Source organism: Homo sapiens, chromosome 17, assembly GCF_000001405.40.
Source record: "Homo sapiens chromosome 17, GRCh38.p14 Primary Assembly".
Classification (NCBI taxonomy): Eukaryota; Metazoa; Chordata; class Mammalia; order Primates; family Hominidae; genus Homo; species Homo sapiens.
The window spans coordinates 79,338,780-79,356,013 of NC_000017.11; the positions used below are offsets into that span (position 1 = coordinate 79,338,780).

At 48.0% G+C, this 17,234-nt stretch overlaps 1 protein-coding gene across 58 annotated transcripts in view, besides 1 other annotated feature; it reads right to left on the reverse strand.

The window, feature by feature from the left end:
- RBFOX3 (RNA binding fox-1 homolog 3) overlaps nucleotides 1-17,234 on the reverse strand; it is a 576,227-nt gene that overhangs the window by 249,435 nt on the left and 309,558 nt on the right. The gene's annotated exons all lie outside the window — the stretch shown is intronic.
- Nucleotides 2,084-2,133: an enhancer, noted in NCBI's record as "active region_12916". NCBI's record gives its function as "activates an Ori minimal core promoter by ATAC-STARR-seq in GM12878 lymphoblastoid cells {active_cell/tissue: GM12878}" and the evidence as "EXISTENCE:reporter gene assay evidence [ECO:0000049][PMID:35858748]".

Consider the following 17,234-nt stretch of genomic DNA (forward strand, 5'->3'; position numbering starts at 1 on the left):
TGCCTTTCTGATGACTGTTGCTTTTCCTTGTTAGCCCTGGAGACAAATAAAGAGCTAGCTCAAACTTGCTTGGCCCTGTTTCTACTCTTCCTTCCCATAATCCTTAGGCTATTGTTTGTGTTTGGCTGTGTGATCAGAACATTTGCATCAAACCCACTAGTGAGAGGGAAGGAGGCGGTTCTATAAAAATTCAGATTTAGGGCTGCTGAATTCTGAATTCTGAATTCTGGGGAATAGAAAATCTATTTACCAAGTTGTGCAGGTGATTGCTTTCTTTTCTTTTCTTTTTTTTTTTTAGACAGTCTCACTCTGTTGCCCAGGCTAGAGTACAGTGATGCAATCATACCTCACTGCCACCTCGATCTTCCAGGCTCAAGCAATCCTCCCGCCTCAGCCTCCTGAGTGGCTGGGACTACAGGCATGCACCACCACACTCGGATAATTTTTAAATTTGTTTGTAGAGACAGGGTTTTGCTGTGTTGCCCAGGCTGATCTTGAAGTCCTGAGCTCGAGTGATCCTCTTGTCTCGGCCTCCCAAAGCGCTGGGGTTACAGGCATGAGCCACTGTGTCCAGCATTGATTCTTAGTCGCGCTGAAGCTTGGAAAACCATTGTTCTCAAAGTGAGAATTACCCATCGCCTACCTCAAGAAAAGGCACAGTGCAACACCAGCCTCACCCACGAGCTCAGTAGAAAGACAGATTCTCACTGGAGCTGGGTGGGTTCCTTATTGGAGCTGGTGGGAGGGAAGGAGGAAGTGGTTCCTTAAAACACAGACTGCTGGGCCCCATTCCCAGAGTTTCTGATTCAGTATGTGTGGAATGGGGTCTGCTAATTTGCTTTTAAACAAGTTTCAAGAAGGTTCTGAGCCTGCCGGTCTGGAGGCCCTGCTGAGAGAAGAGCTGTGCTGGGAGACGATAACTCGGGCTGGCACAGCAACTGTTGGCCTGGAAGTTGGGGTCTGGGTCCTCATTTTGGTCCTAACCTTAGACAAGTCACTCAAGTCCCTTCTCCTATTTGATTCAGAATTTTTTTTGGCATAAAACAGGACTGGATTGAACAGGTGTGCAGTTCCTTTCTAGCACCTACATTCTACGACTCCAGCCCTTGCTGAAATGCAGCAGTAACTGGTGACCAGGACAAACAGCTAGCAGAGAAGCAGAGTCCTGCTGATGCCCCCTGTTCTCCCTCTGTCTTTCAGAGTCCTGTACCCTACTGATGTTAAACTTCTGAGCATGGGCCGGGCACGGCGGCTCACACCTGTAATCCCAGCACTTTGGGAGGCCAAGGCGGGCAGATCACCTGAGGCCAGGAGTTCGAGACCAGCCTGACGAACATGGTGAAACCCTGTCCCTACTAAAAATACAAAAATTAGCCAGGTGTGGTGGTGCACGCCTGTAATCCCAGCTACTTGGGAGGCTGAGGCAGGAGGATTGCTTGAACCCGGGAGGTGGAGGTTGCAGTGAGCCGAGATCACACCATTGCACTCCAGCCTGGGCAATAGAGTGAGACTCCATCTCAAAAAAAAAAACAAAAAACAAAAACAAAACTCTCTGAGCATGATAGAATCTATGTTGGGAGCCAGGCTGCCAGCAGCTGCCTTCCGCAAGCCCCACCTCCCAGAAGTGAAAGCTTCTATTCGTTCTTCCCCATGGGGCAGGGTTCCTGGGCTTACAGCCTGAGCCGCCCTGTGATTTTCAGAGTTCTGTGTAAAGATGGAGTGTGTTCCCCTCCACACCTCCCCAGCTGCATGGGGCAGAGTGACTTCACTGCACATCCTGGTGTGTCTGAAAAGCGACATGATTTGGGGGTGATTAAAGGCAACCCACATGCTTGATGAGCATGTAATTATTGCCTGTTTCATGACACGGGTCTGGCACTCAGAAACCTGGAGACGCAAGCACTTGCAGTTTTTCATGACAGCCTGACTTCATCCGATGAATGAAAAAAAAAAGTAAGGAAAAGAAAAAAGATGAAAACATCTGTAATGAACATCTGGATTCCATTGCTAACCATGAAAGCAAATTCCTCAGAGTCAGCATGCCGGAGAGGGCTGGGAAAGGGTGTATTTATAAACAACTGTGGTACTTGAATCAGAAAAAATGCCCCCAAACACCACCCCTTCCTGTTTGAAAACCTTTCAGAATGGAGAAGCATTGAGTTTCAGTTCTGTGTCTAAGCAATGGAGAAACAGTTACACCTGCAAGTCAAGCTCTGGACTCAAACAAACATAATGACAGCCTCTGGGCTCAGCAGTTGGTTCCCCAAAACAGTCATCTGAAGAAAAGATTCAAATACCTCTGAGTGTTTGCGGGTGTGTGTGCAGTCATGTGAGTGCACAGACATGCACACGGGAAGGCAGACATGCACGTATGCACAGTGTGTACACAGTCATGCACACCTGTAGGCGTGGGTGTGTGCAGAGAGTCATGCACACAGGAATGCAGGCAGGGGTACACAGGTGTGTGTGTACATGTGTGTGCACAGGTGTGCACACAGAAATGTAGGCATGTGTTCATGTCTCATGTGTGTATGCATGCACAGAAATGTCCAATTCATATGCCACAGCCCACTTTTTTGCAGCCTCCTTTTTTACTTCCTCATACTATACAGCTTCATACCTTGTTTACAACTTCCCATTATTCATATACCTATCACCAAGTTGTGCCCTCTTCGTGCGTAACTAATTGAGTTCGTGGGAGGCTGTTGCTGGGGGTCCGGCAATTACAGCACAGTGGCGGGTGTTGGAAGCCAGGGGAGCTGAGGCTAGGCAGCATGGCTGGGGCTGGGGCACGGCTGTCCTACACGCCACATGGGCTGTGCACATGGAGGCTCCTTGTTGGCACCTTGGAAAGCCTTAGGGTCCATTTCTCTACCTGGAGAAGCAGTCACTGCCCCTTGGTGTGTGCATGGGGGACAGAGCCAGGGAGCGTCTCCCTTGCTCCCTTTCTGAGTTCTGAGCTCCAGGCTCCCTGCATAACCATCTTAACAGAAAGAGGAGTGGCGAGCCTGTCTGCTCTCATAAACCATGTGCCCCTGCAAACCCCCAAGCCAGGGCTAAGGGAAAAACAATTTGCAGCCGGTGGCTCCTAATAGATGGAAATAACTCTATCCGTGAATGCAGGTGATGCGCTAATGTGAAAAGAGATGAAAAGTGGAATTCATTTGGAAAATTTTGGCTTTGGCCCCCAAGGCTGGGGCAAGAGGGTGTCCTCCATGGCTGGCCCCCTCCCCGGCCCCCTCCCAGCCTCCCTGTGAGCTGGGGGCAGCCTGGCCCAACCTGTCACCTGGCATTAGAGGCGATAAAAGCCATGTGCTTCCCTCACCTCGTGGTGCAGCTCGTGTTTAGGGCCTTTGCTTTATCAGTTTTTATTTCGTGTAATATTCATCACACTGGTTTATTTATGGGGCCCTTGTTGGGAAGTTATTTTTCAGGCCTGGTGAATAAAACATTAGACTTTGCGGCTTGTCAGGGTGACTGCGGCTACTCTGATGTCAGCCTGACAAACCGCCTTTTCTTTTTCCCAACAACTGCACTTTTAGAGAAATTTATTTGTATTTTGTTGGGCATTTGTTGTTTTTTTCTCCTTTTGGCTGGTGGATGTTGGTCAGAGTCGAAGTCTCTCTCTCTCGTCTGATTAAATGCTGGAGCCTTCACTTGCTGAGAAAGGCAATATGTTAAGCAGGAGAAGTGAGGTGAGCACCTCGGGCCTCCAGAACCTAAGTCCTGGGCTACAGGAGAGCCATGGGATCCCAAAGCCTGCAATGAATCCCCTCCCTGCAAAGCCTAGCGGCTCAACCTGGGTGTTCACAGCCAGTGAGCGAAGTGCTTTAGCCGTGCAGGTCAGAGTCGAAGGATGACCTGGAGGAACTGCTGGAGAGGTTGATGGGGCTTTGTGCGGAAAGGCAGAGGGCACAGGAGTGTGGGTCCTAAAATCCTAATGAGAATAATGGGGGAAAATCCCAATAAATTAAAAACAAAACAGGCGAAATGTGGCTTTAAGCAAAGCTCTCAATAAGAAAATCTGCACTTAAGGAAAACTAGGGTGAAGAGACTCACTTTACAACGGGGCTTGTCACAGTATTTCTCAGTTATTCTCATGCACTTAAAATGTGGATTACTTTACATGACTTTTCAAGTTTTGTTAAACAAGAGAAAGAGAACACAGTGGGGGGAGAGAGAAAGAGAAAGAGAAAGAGCGAGAGAGAGAGAGAGAGAGAGAGAAACCTGGTAATGCTATATTTCAGATTGAAGAGTGTTGAGTTTTTCTTTCTTTCTCCCCAGAAATCAAAAGGATTAAGAAAACCCCAATCAATAACAATCCAGCCAGCTGCTGGTGATTCACTGTGACTTGTCCTTTAGATGGCTTAGTACATGACGATCTCTTCATTAAGTGATACCTGGACTGTGTTCATCCTTACTAATAGCTCATAAGCTCAGTGGCTTTTTTAAAACTGGAGGAAGGGCCAGGCGAGGTAACTCACACCTGTAATCCCAGCACTTTGGGAGGCCTAGGAGGGTGGATCACCTGAGGTCAGGAGTTTGAGACCAACGTGATGAAACCCCATCTCTGCTAAAAATACAAAAATTAGCCAGGTGTGGTGGTGCACACCTGTAGTCCCAGCTACTCGGGAAGCTGAGGCATGAGAATTGCTTGAATTTGGGAGATCGAGGTTGCAGTGAGCCGAGATTGCACCACTGCACTCCAGCCTGGGAGACAGAGTGAGACTCGGTCTCAAAAGAAAAAACAAACAAACAAACAAAAAAACCCAAAAACACTGGAGGAAGAAAATGTCATTTAGCTTCTTGAGCAACACCACCACCAGACCAAGGGCATCAGCTTCCCTTCTTGGATTCTCCCGTGGATCAGGTGTCACCTGGGATGGCTGCACACTGACCCCTAGTAACAGAGGCTACCATTTGTGGGGTATGTACTGTCAGCCAGGCAGTGAAGAAAAGGGTGCCATCATTCATCTTCCTTCATCATTCATGAGACAGGTCCTGTCAGCCCATCTTACAGGTGAGGAAGCTGAACTCAGAGGTGGAAGAACAGCCCAAAGTCACTCAGAGGAATCACGGGGCAGGAATTGGACACAGCCTGCCCGTATCTAAGCTCTTACATGAATCTCCCTGCCCACAGGTCGGCTGCATGCACAGGACCATGGAATTAGACCCCCATACTCTCCAGAGAGATCCCACTCAAGTGGGTATGAGAGATGCCAGGAAGATGCCACTGATCCATTAGTGTCTGTGACAAGGACAAACACTTATATAAACCACATCAAATCTCCAAGAGGGGTTAGTGTGGGCTACATGCACCCCTGTCAGAGGTGTAGGCAAATGGGATGGATGATTTGAGAATCAGGATGCTCATACACAGCTAGGGTTCTATGTCCCGGGTCCTGAGGCCAACATCTTTTCCTCCAGACTTTAAGGAGTCAAGACCTAAAGTAAAAAATGCAAATATATCTTCCAAAAAAATTCCTTGATTTGGGGGAAATTTTAACTGGCTAATTTGAGTTGGCATAAATGAAAAAATTCCAGACTGCCAGTGAGTACATCCTTGGAAGGCTCTACCATTCCCGAGAGCTTTCAAACAACCTCCGGCGATTCTACAAGCACCAATAAAAACAAGGACTATGCATCTCTCCCAACAGCCACCCCCTACCAGAGCTGCTGCCCTCTCCCTCTATCCCCTTCCTCATTGGGCTTCTCAATCATTTTCCTGCAGAGGATGGATTCATGTTGTCACTTTGTTTGATTATTTATTTATTTATTTATTTATTTATTTAGAAGACGGAGTCTCACTCCATTGCCCAGGCTGGAGTGCGGTGGCACAATCTTGGCTCACTGCAACTTCCACCTCCCAAGTTCAAGCGATTCTTGTGCCTCAGCCCCCCAAGTACCTGGGATTACAGGTGCATGCCACCATGCCTGGCTAATTTTTGGATTTTTAGTAGAGGTGAAGTTTTCACCATGTTGGCCAGGCTGGTCTCAAACTCCTGATCTCAGGTGATCCACCCACTTCAGCCTCCCAAAGTGCTGGGATTACAGGCATGAGCCACCACGCCCGGCCATCTGTTTGCTTTTCAACCCACCCCAATCTGCCTCTGTCCACACCACTTCATCAAAACTCTCTTATCAAGGTCACATTTGACCCTCTGACTGCAAAACTCAGAGGATGAAGTCACTTGCCTGTCCTCAGACCATACTTGACCACTCCTACCTTCCTTCTGGAAACAAGTTTTTCTTTGGTTTTGTGACACTAAACTGCTGACTGTTCTCTGCCTGTAGGGCTGATTATTCTCTGTTGTTTTTGCTGAACTCTAAATGCTGGAGTTCTTCAGAGGACAATTCTAACTGTCTTCTTCAACAGCAGTGTTCCTGAGAGCTTCTCTTCTCCACCTGTTTGTTTTGGTTTGTTTTGTTTGAAGAATTGATCCATTTTACCTAAATTGTGACATTTACGTGCATAGAGTTGCCTGTAGTATTCCCTTATTATCCTTCTAATGGCTGCAGGGTCTGTAGTGATGTCCCCTGCTTCATTACTGAGATTGGTAATTTGTCTTTTGTTTATCCTTGTTGGTCTTGCTAGATAGAAGTTTATCAGTTTTATTGCTCTGTTCATAAAGGGATTGAACCAATTTATGCTGTCCTTCTTATGAATAAGAAGCCTGATGATCATTATATTTTCTGAAACTTGGATTTGTCAGGCTTTGAAAGTCTTGCCAATCAAATGGAAGTTAAACGCTACTCATTGTGGTCTAGATTTGCATTTCCCAGCTGATTAGTGAGGTTAAACATCTCTTTTTATGTTTATTGATTATATATTCTCTTCTGTATGAAATTCCTGCCTGTCCTCTGCTTTTTTCTCTTTTGGGATGTTTTATACTTTTCTTCTTGATTTTCAGTTATTTAAACATTTTTGATACTAATCTTTTGTCAGTTGTGTGTATTGCCAATATTTTCTTCTAGTCTTTTCACTTCTTAAAGACTTCACTTTTTCTAAACCATTCAATATATTGAATTAAAAAGCACTTATTTTTTCTTAACTTTAATGTACTCAAGTCTGTCAATCTTTTTTTATACTCATTTGATGTGTCTTGTTTAAGACATTTTCCTCTATGAGATTTGTTTTTTGTTTGTTTGTTTGTTTTGTTTTTTTGAGATGGAGTCTTTCACCCAGGCTGGAATGCAGTGGTGTGATCTTGGCTCACTGCAATCTGCACCTCCCGGGTTCAAGCAATTCTCCTGCCTTAGCCTCCCAAGTAGCTGGGATTACAAGCACACACCACCATACCTGGCTAATTTTTTGCATTTTTAGTAGAGATGAGGGTTCCATCATGTTGGCCAGGCTGGTCTCGAACTCCTGACCTCAGGTGATCCACCCACCTCAGCCTCCCAAAGTGCTAGGATTACAGGTGTGAGCCACCATGCCTGGCCTCCTCTAAGAGATTTTTGACATTTAACTACTTCATCCACCTATGTCCATTTTCAAAATATGGTGTGAGGTAGAGATCTAATAGTGTACTTTGTATATGGGTAACTACACAATTTTTTTTTCCAGCTCACTTTGTTAAACATCCCTGCCTTTTGCCAGTGATTTGAAATGCTACCTCTAACATAACCAAAGTTACATAAGTTCATGGATCTGTTTCTGGGAATCCTGGGAATTGATTAATTGGTTGATCCTTATGACAACACTAGGTAATCTTAATTACCATAGCTTCACAATGAGCCCAGATATGCGATAGGAGAAGTATCTCCTTCATGCTCTGCTCCTCAGAGGGGTTCTGGCTAATTTTTGGTGTCTTAATCTTCTATATCGTCATTTGATGAGGCTCCAATTGGGAATTAATCAGAATTGCATTGGCTGTAGTCAATATAGATCAACATGGGGAAAATGACATTTTAATGATATAAAAACTTCCTATTCATTTATTAGAACTCCTCTACTTACACTTCATAAAGTTGTACATTTTGCCTGTATAAGTCTTAAGCATTTTAAAATTAAATTAAAATTAAATTTATTCCTAGGTATTTGACATTTTCTGATACTACTAAAAACAATGTCTTCTATTTGTGTGTGTTTGCTGCTGGTATGTAGATAAAAACTGAGTTAAACTTATGCCAGATAACTTGCTATACTCTCCAGTTTCTAAAAGATTTTGTGTAGATTTGGGCAAGGGTTCTATGTAAATGATCATATCATCTGAAAATAATACAATTTTTTGTTCTTTCCAATCCTTACACATCTAGCTTCTTTTTCTCTCTTTGTTGCACTGCATAGGAGAATGGAAGTTTTACTAGCTTTCACATCTGAATGACAATTTGGCTGCATGTAAAAGTCTATGTTCTATGTTCTTTTATTCTGTGCTTTGAATATATCACTCCATTGTCTTCCTGCATCTGGCATAGCTGTTGAAAATCCTGAAGTCTGTATAATAACTTGCTCTTTGTGTGTGATCTCTTCCTGTCTGGAAACATTAAGAACTTTATCTTTGTTATTCTTAAATTTCACTGTAAGTGTATAGGTTTTGTTTCCCTCTTATCTCTTCTTTTTGGGACTCCAAGACCTCTTCAACCTGGGCTCTTTCATCCTTTTTCTTTAAATCCCATTGATTTTATCTCCACATTTTCTTCATATATGTCCTCTTCTATATTTTTATTTTTCTCTCTTTGTAGGACTTCTATGATCCACATGTTAACAACTTAACATTAGCACCTTAACTTCTTTCCTCCTTGTGTTAGAACTTTTCTATTTTCTTTTTCTTTGTGCTTTTCCTTATTTTTTTCTTGGCTGATACATCAAGCTGGTCCTCCAATTCACAAATGCATTCCTCAGTTATTTATTCTAGTACTTTTCTCCTGTATCGCATTATTTCCACAGCTATACCTTAACACCAACAATTTCTACTCGGTTCCTTTGTATATCTTCTTGATCTTATTTCACATTGCTAATATGTCCCTTATCTCATTTAGGAGGTTTATTAAGCTTATTTTTAAAATTGGTCCCTCTGTTCTGGTATTTCTATTCTGATAGAATCTGGAAGCTGTAACTCAGTTTGTTGCCTTAAAAAAAATGCTTGTGCTTCTCGAATACCTTGTTATTTTGCCTGCCAGCTCATTCCCTCCAGTGGAAGTCTGCTACTCTGCCCTGCCCTGTCTGAGAGGTGGGTAGCCCAGTAAGCCTGAGTGATCTCAGAGAGCGGTGGGTGAATGTACTCCAAGTGGAGAGGCTCCAAAAAATCACAGTCAACCCCATCCACTCCACCAAATTCCTCCTTAGATCAGAGCTTCACCTTCCCCCTCCTGAGAGATGCGGCATTCAGAGGGACCTCCCCAAGCCTGAAATAGTGCAGTCTCCTGGTCGTCTGCAGAAAAGCGGGGAAGTGACTGCTGGGGTCAGGTGGGCTGCACCTGTTTTGCTTGGCTCCCTGTGAGCACAGGTCCCTCTGCTGCTGTGCTGTATTAACACCTGCACCTGAGCCCTGCATAGCCACAGGTATAGACAGGCATGGTTTGTCCCAAGGCAATAGTGGCTGGAGCTGGGCTAAGTAAGAACAGACATCAAACATTCCCCTTCACGCTTATTCTCCCATAGCTGTGTTTGGCCCACCCCTGCTCCAGGCCAAAGCCATAGCCCCATGCACAATGATTTGAAACCCCTCACCCCCTCCATCTGCTGTCTCATTGGTTTCACTCTATTCTTCCCCTAGGGGTGAGTTTGGAGCAAGGAGCTAGTGGTCTTGCTGGTTACCATCAGAACAAACCCAATTTCTTTTCTTTTCCTTTTTTTTTTTTTTTTTTTTTTTTTTGAGACAGAGTTTCACTCTTTTTAAACAGGCTGGAGTGCAGTAGTGCCATCTCGGCTCACTGCAACCTCCGCCTCCTGGGTTCAAGTGATTCTCCTGCCTCAGCTTCTCAAGTAGCTGGGCTTACAGGTATGCCCCACCATGCCCGGCTAATTTTGTATTTTTAGTAGGGACGGGGTTTCACCATGTTGGCCAGGTTGGTCTCCAACTCCTGACCTCAGGTGATCCACCTCGGCCTCCCAAAGTGCTGGTATTACAGACATGAGCCACCACCCCCGGCCTAAACCCACTTTTTCAATCATAATGTGTCCAAGCAGATCTCCCGACATCTCCACTCTCCGAGAAACCCTGCTCTTCCCTCTGCATCCTTCATGTGGGTAAACAATCCCTCCAGGCACCTTATTAGCTACATCCCCTCTGAAAGCCAGCTGTGCCTCTATCTCTCCCTCTTCCCACAAATTCAACTCACTGCCAAGTCCAGTAAGTTCTGTCTCCAAAATGTACCCATTTCTTGGCTCCTTCCCCATCCCCACGCCTGGCGCTCCATCATCTCCTGCCCCAACCATGCAAGTTTCCTGCTTGGAGTCCCTGCTTCACCCTCACCGAGCAGCCAGACCTATCCCTGCTCAGCCCCTGCACGTGCCTTCCACTGAGCTGTGGGCTGCGGGGCCAGGCACAGTCCTGCCTGCACCCTCTCCTCCCACCTCTCACCACTCGCACTCCTCTGCCCACTCAGCCACACAGCCTTGCTGGGTCTGGGGTCACTCTCATTTGCTGAGATCCTGCCTCCCGGGGGCCACTGCTATTGCTCCTGCTTCTGTCTGTCACCTCTCACTCTCCTCCTCACTTCTCCCACCTTCTCCTCCTTCTCCCAACTCCTACTCACCCTCCCGGTCCCTATTGAAATTCTGCTTCTCAGAGAACCCCCAGACCTCCCATTGAAGCACCCCAGGATGCCTTGAGCATTTCCCTGACCATGGTGACCACTCTTTCATGTTTCCACTGGTTTGTGCGACTCCAGTCTGATGTCTGGTGATCCCACCAGGCCCGGCAATGCCTGAAGATGACGTCCCTGCTTATTTCCTTTCCCCCTGTATCCCCGGGGCTCAGCCCAGCCCTGGAATACCGTCACAGCTCAACAAAGATGCGTCATGTAGCTTGGTGCACCGAGAGATGCCATCAGTGGTGGATCCCCAGCAGGGCCTTGCCTCCTAGGGAAGCCGAGGTAGGCACAGCCGTGATCACCAGGACGGAATGGGTTCCCTGAGCCCCCCGGGGCAGGCACGGCCATGATCACCAGGACAGAATGGGTTCCCTGAGCCTAGGCCACGTGGCCCACACCCACAGTTGGGTGCCCTCTGCTCCAGGAGGAGAGGCTCCAGAAAATCACAGTCCACATCGTCCATGCCACCAAAGTCGTCCTTAGGTCATTCAGATCTGCTCATCCCTCGCAGATCCATTCCCGCCCCACCTGTGTAGAGAGAATCAGACACTCAAGCCAGCCAATGGTGGCTCAGGCATGGGGAGGAGAGCGCCCAGGATGCCCCCTGTCCGTGGCATTGTCCAACAGCTCTGTCCTCCCTGGCTGCAGCTGCCCTGGCAGCCCCTCCTGACAGGCAGTTCTGACAGTGGCCGGCTCTGCGCCCCATCCCGCCTCTCCAGTCCTAGGGGCTTCTGTCTGCTGCTGTCCTTCCTCCTCTGATGGTCCTGTTTAATTCTCCAACTCTTCCCTGGTCAGTGTAACTGATTCTTGGTATTAAATGCTCTCTCTGAAACTCCCAGATGGGTCTCCCTTCTCCTGGGGGGACCCTGACTGATACATCCTGTGACTATAGGTTCTTAGAGTAAAAGGCAATTTCATTTCATTTCATAGTTATGGATTGATAGGGTGACCAATGAATCCTGGTTTGTCTAGGATTATCCTGATTTTAGCAGTGAAAGTCTACATCCCAGAAACTCCTTAGTCCTGGGCAAGTCCAGCCATGCTGGCCCTGGGGACTTCATGGAAGGCAGGCATGGCTGTGACCCCTGCCCCACCATGCCTCTGTCCCTGAGAAAGCAAGAATGACCACGGCTCACATGCCAGCCGGTGTGTCCCTGTGACCTGGTGCTCTGCAGGGAAGATGCACCATCCTGTGAGAGCCCCTGATGAGGGTTGTGGCAGACAGGGCTCAGGCAGGGCGGCCTGCAGGGTGGCGTGAGCTGGCATGAATTGCGGGGAAAGAAGGTCTCTCTGAGCTCAGGCGCCCCCATGGCGACTCTCCCACCTTCCAGTGCCCTGGCTGTCACCTCATTTTTTTCTTTCTCTAACTCCCCTTCCCACCTTTTCCCCTCCCTGGCATCCCCTGGTAACCTCTAATCCACTTTCTTTCTCTCTGAATCTGCCTTCTCTAGGGACCTTATGCACGATGAATGGTTCAGTATTTGCCCCTGTGCATCTGGCTGTTTCACCCGACGTAATGTTTTCAAGGTTCCTCTGTGCTGTAGCATGTGCCAGAATTTCCTTCCTTTTACCAGGCTATGTAATATTCATGGATAGACCACATTTTGTGTATCTGTTCATCCATCGACAGACACTTGCTTTGCTTCTACGCTTTGGCTGCTGTGAACGATGCTGCTATGAACACCAGCACAAGAGTCTCTGAGTCGCTGTGTTCAATTCTCTGGGGGCATGTTCCTTGAAGTGGAAGTGCTGGGCCACAGGGTAGGGCTCTGTATAGCTTTTTGAGACACTGTCAAACTGTTTTTCCAAAGCAGCCACATGCTTTACATTCCTATCTGCAAGGAGCAAGGGTCCCAGTTTCTAACCATCCTTGCCCATTCTTGCTTTTTTTAAGATGGAGTCTCACTGTGTCACCCAGGCTGGAGTGCAGTGGCTCACTGCAGCCTCCACCTCCCAGCTTCAATCTTGCTGTCTTTTCTATTGCAGACATCTTACTGTGTGCCAGGTGGAGTCTTGTTGAGGGTCTGATTTGCATTTCCTTGGTGACGATGATGTGGAGCATCTTCTCATGTGCCTGTTGGCCATTTGTATGTCTGCTTTGGAGAAATGTGTAGTAAGTCCTTTGCCTATTTTTAAAAGTGAGCCATTTGCCTTCTTGGTGTTGAGTTGTAGTTCCTGATGTATCCTGGGTTTTAAACTCTCATCTGAGATATGATGTGCAAATATCTTCTCCCATCTGTTGGTTGCTTTTCCACTTTCTCGATAGTGTCCTCTGATACCTCAGGTTTTAATTTTGAGGAAGTACAATTTTTCTTTTGTTGCCTGTGCTTTTGGAGTCCTACCCTCACCCTTGTTTTAAGGCCTCCTTGACATTTGTTTTCCTAGAGAGTCGTTCAGGGCCTACAGGTCCCTGTGGGAAATCAGGATGGGAGGGGATCTTAGAGGCCTGTGAACCCCGGCTTCTACTGAGAGGAGAAGCTTCTGCATTCCTGGTGGAGCAAGCATATCCACCAGAACCACTAGAACCAGCCCCATCAGCACCCACCTCCTTCTGTGTCCTGCCTTTTCCTCCTTTCAAGGGAAGTTGTTATGGTTTGGCTCTGTGTCCCCACCCAAATCTCATGTTGAATTGTGATCCCAACTGTTGGACATGGGGCCTGGTGGAAGGTGATTGGATCATGGGGGTGGTTTTTAATGTTTCAGCACCAACCCCCTAGTGCTATCTCATGAGTGAGTTCTCATGATATCTGGTTGTTTAAAAGTGTGTAGCACTGCCCTCTTTGATCTCTCTCCTGCCACCATGTGAAGATGTGCCTGCTTCCTCTTTGTCTTCTGCCATGATTGTAAGTTTCTGAGGCCTCCCCAGCCATGCTTCCTGTGCAGCCTGCAGAACTGTGAGCCAATTAAATCTCTTTTCTTTATAAACTACTCAGCCTCGGTTCTTTATGGCAGTGCGAGAACAGATGAAAACAGAAGTGCCCTGAGGGAATGCATGGTCTCCAAGTGCCTTCCATTCACTGGCCAGGCACCGCTGTCTCAGATCACATCCCCAACTTACCTCTTAAATGTTCCCTCTGGAAAGGTAAAAACTCCATGATGTCAGAGTCCACTCTGGTTTACTGGTGTGGCCCACACCTCCTAGGGTTCCCTTACATCCACAGTGAGTGAAGAAAGGCAAAGAATGGTGCACAATGAGGCATGGGTGGCAAAGAGCCTGCTGCCCCCCAGAAATGACCTCACAGTGTCAGGTCACCTAGGGGACCACCTGGTGGGGCTCAGCCTCACAGGCTCTGCAGCCCCACCCTGTCTGCACTGGGAATGGGTCCTCCTGCTGGGCACTGGGGCCACATCAGTTCTACTCATTGACATTGACTGGCACACTCCAGCGAGCACTGCCAGAGCCTCCCTTTTGGGCAGACAGATGGGAAAGTTTGCTCATCAACACAAAGGCGCTTGGAGCATCCACCTGGAACAGGAGTGAGGATCACACAGGGACTGCCTCGGGACATCAGGATGACATGGTCTGACCTGATGTATCTGCTGCACAGGAGGGACATCGTCCCTTGACAATAAAACTATGAGCCTGCGTTGGCCTGGACGATCATGCCCTGAACAACCTCGCCCTGAACAGCACATCAGGGAGCTGCTCACCAGGGCCTCTGCGGCTGCTGTGGACACTGGTGCGCAAGTGTGTGTTTGAGTCCCTGCTGAAGTCTCCTTCATCCCAGGGTGGCTGGGAGCACTGCCCTCCCATCCTCTCCTCCATGGGGTGGGATCTTCCCTTCCCCTGAGATCTGTCAATGACTCTGGCCAGCTCCGTGGACTCTCCTGTGAGTGGGAGCACACTTGCATGCTCCTCCTCCTCCCTGCCACTCACTAGGTGCCCAACCTGGGTGATGAGCAAGCTTTGTTTGTTTGAGCAAAAAGAGACTCATCTAACAATCTTAGCTTACAGAATTTCTGGGAAATCCAATATAGCAGCTAAGATGCCACTATATAAGAAGCAATACTGCCCGGAGAAATACCCATCACTCATGCAGATGCTGCAGTGAAGCTGCAGACCAAACACCAAACCTCCAGGAAATCACTGCAAGGAAAAGCCACGTGATTCTGCACGTGGCCTCTCCAGAAAGCTGCGTGTCTTCTGGGGCCTGGAGCTCACATGACCTCCTCGGTCTCAGCCAGTCGCGTTTGTGCACCACCGAGGCTTAGCCAGGTGTCTGGCTGAAGGTGGAGATCAAGCAGAGTGCTCCTGAGGCACGAGGGGCCCCCACTGGCTTTCTCACCCTTCCCCAGGCGAACCTTGCACTGTCCTGTCCTGCAGATGAGGTGTGCAGTGGGGGCCGCTCCCTGAGGTCCCACCCCCGCGTTACCCACTTGACCATCGACCTCCAAGTCCTCTGCATCTCTCTCAGGAGATCTTCCCTTTCACCACCCGACTCTTATTTTTGTTTTTAATAGCCTTAATGTTTTTAGAGAAGTTTTACACTCATAGTGGGATGGATGGGAAGGTACAGAGAGTTCCCACAGACCCCCTGCCCTCCCCATGACATGCACAGTCCCCCACTGTCCACAACCGCCTCCAGAGGGTCCATCAGTTCAATGGGTGAACTATACGGACAACGTCATTGTCACCCAGAGTCCAGGGCTCACAGGAGGATTAGCTGTCAGTGTGGTGATCCTGTGGGTTTGGGCAAATGTGTAAAGACGCAGGCCCACCATTCTAGTGTCATGCATGGCGGTGTCACCGCCCTAAAGAGCCTCTGTAGGCACTGGGGCCACATCAGTTCTACTCATTGACAATGACTGGCTCACTCCAGCTAGCACTGCCGGAGCCTCCCTCTCAGGCAGACTGATGGGGAAATTTGCTCATCAACACAAAGGCACTGGGAGCATCTGCCTGGAGCAGGAGAGTGAGGACACCCCAGCCCCCGGCATCTACAGATACTCTCAGTGGTTCCATAGTTCAGCCCTTTCAGTCTTGGCGTTTTCAACATTTTTCTCAGAACTAACCCCGGGACAGACTTCACTTCCACCACGGGGAGAAACCAGCGTGGAAGGCAGTAGGAAGATGACAGGGACTGAGGCGTGGAACAGACTGCGCGTTCAGCGCAAGCCAGGTTCCTGCTGCCTCTGGTGCAGCTGTGGGGGGAGAGGAGCCCTCAGGAGGGTTTCCCTTCCCAGATGTGTGAGAGACTCAGGCACAGGGACCTCACCTCCAACTCCGGCCCCTCAGAGAGGGGTTAATTTCCATATTTCACGATTAATCATTATTATAACTATTTTTAGTTCCACAAGACAAGGTAGTTTAACACGCTGTGCATTTTTGCAAGGTATCCTTGATCCTTCTAAAGTAAAATTAAAAGCTATAATTAGCTCCCTTAATAGAGAATTGCACTTGGTTCGGCGTCAGCTAACAGCGGGCTCCCTTCCCTGGCTGTGGGATTATTAATGGGTGTTATTTTGCTAATAGTCCGCCCCTCTAATGGGGACTCTTCCCACCGGCCTCTCCTCTTTATAGCCCCACACGGGATCATTCTGACTCTCGGATTCCACTTTCTCACCTACTTCCAAGAGGTTTAAAACATGACCGTGTAATCAACTTAACACATTTAACATTTAACACGGGGTTCGGCACTTGTGGGGTCGGGGGTCCCTGTTCAGAGCTGACTCTCCCTAAGAAGAAAGTTCTTCCGAGGAAAGGCATCAAGGCTTTGGCTCTGAACAAGCATGTGAAGCCTGCAGAACGTATCGAGGGCTCTGGGGAGACGTGTTGTTTGCAGAGCAGGCTGACTTCTGTTTTCAGCCACTGGGGCACAACTCCATTGACTTTGCCAGGCAAGCATTTCCTCTCTGCGTGGGATACCCGCCCCCGTTTCCAATGCTTGTACCCAAGCCAAGTGGCCCCGGGCGATGGTGGCAGAGGCAGCTCCCCTCCAGCCTCTCCAGGTCCTGCTGCCTGGGAAGCCACCTGCTCCTGAACCCCTGAGTTCAACGCATGTTAGAAACTAAAAGCTGAATATACCCCAAGCCTGTGAATTAATTGCTTTTTTTTTTTTCCGAAACGGAGTCTTGCTCTGTTGCCCAGGCTGGAGTACAGTGGTTTGATCTCAGCTCACTGCAACCTCCACCTCCCAGGTTCAAGCAATTCTCCTGCCTCAGCCTTCCTAGTAGCTGGGATAACAGGCTCACACCATCATGCTCAGCTAATGTTTTAATTTTTAGTAGAGATGGGATTTCACCATGTTGGCCAGGCTGGTCTTGAACTCCTGACCTCAGGTGATCTACCTGCCTTAGCTTCCCAAAGTGCTAGAATTACAGACGTGAACCACCGTGCCTGGCCGAACTGCTTTTTAGAAATTATGTTTCTTGTAAGTGCAAGGAAAATTCCAGCTCTGCTAAATGTTTGACATCCTTATGTAATATGTGACTTAGGTAATTTCCATAGTCTGACATCTGGCTCACTCCTAACTCCA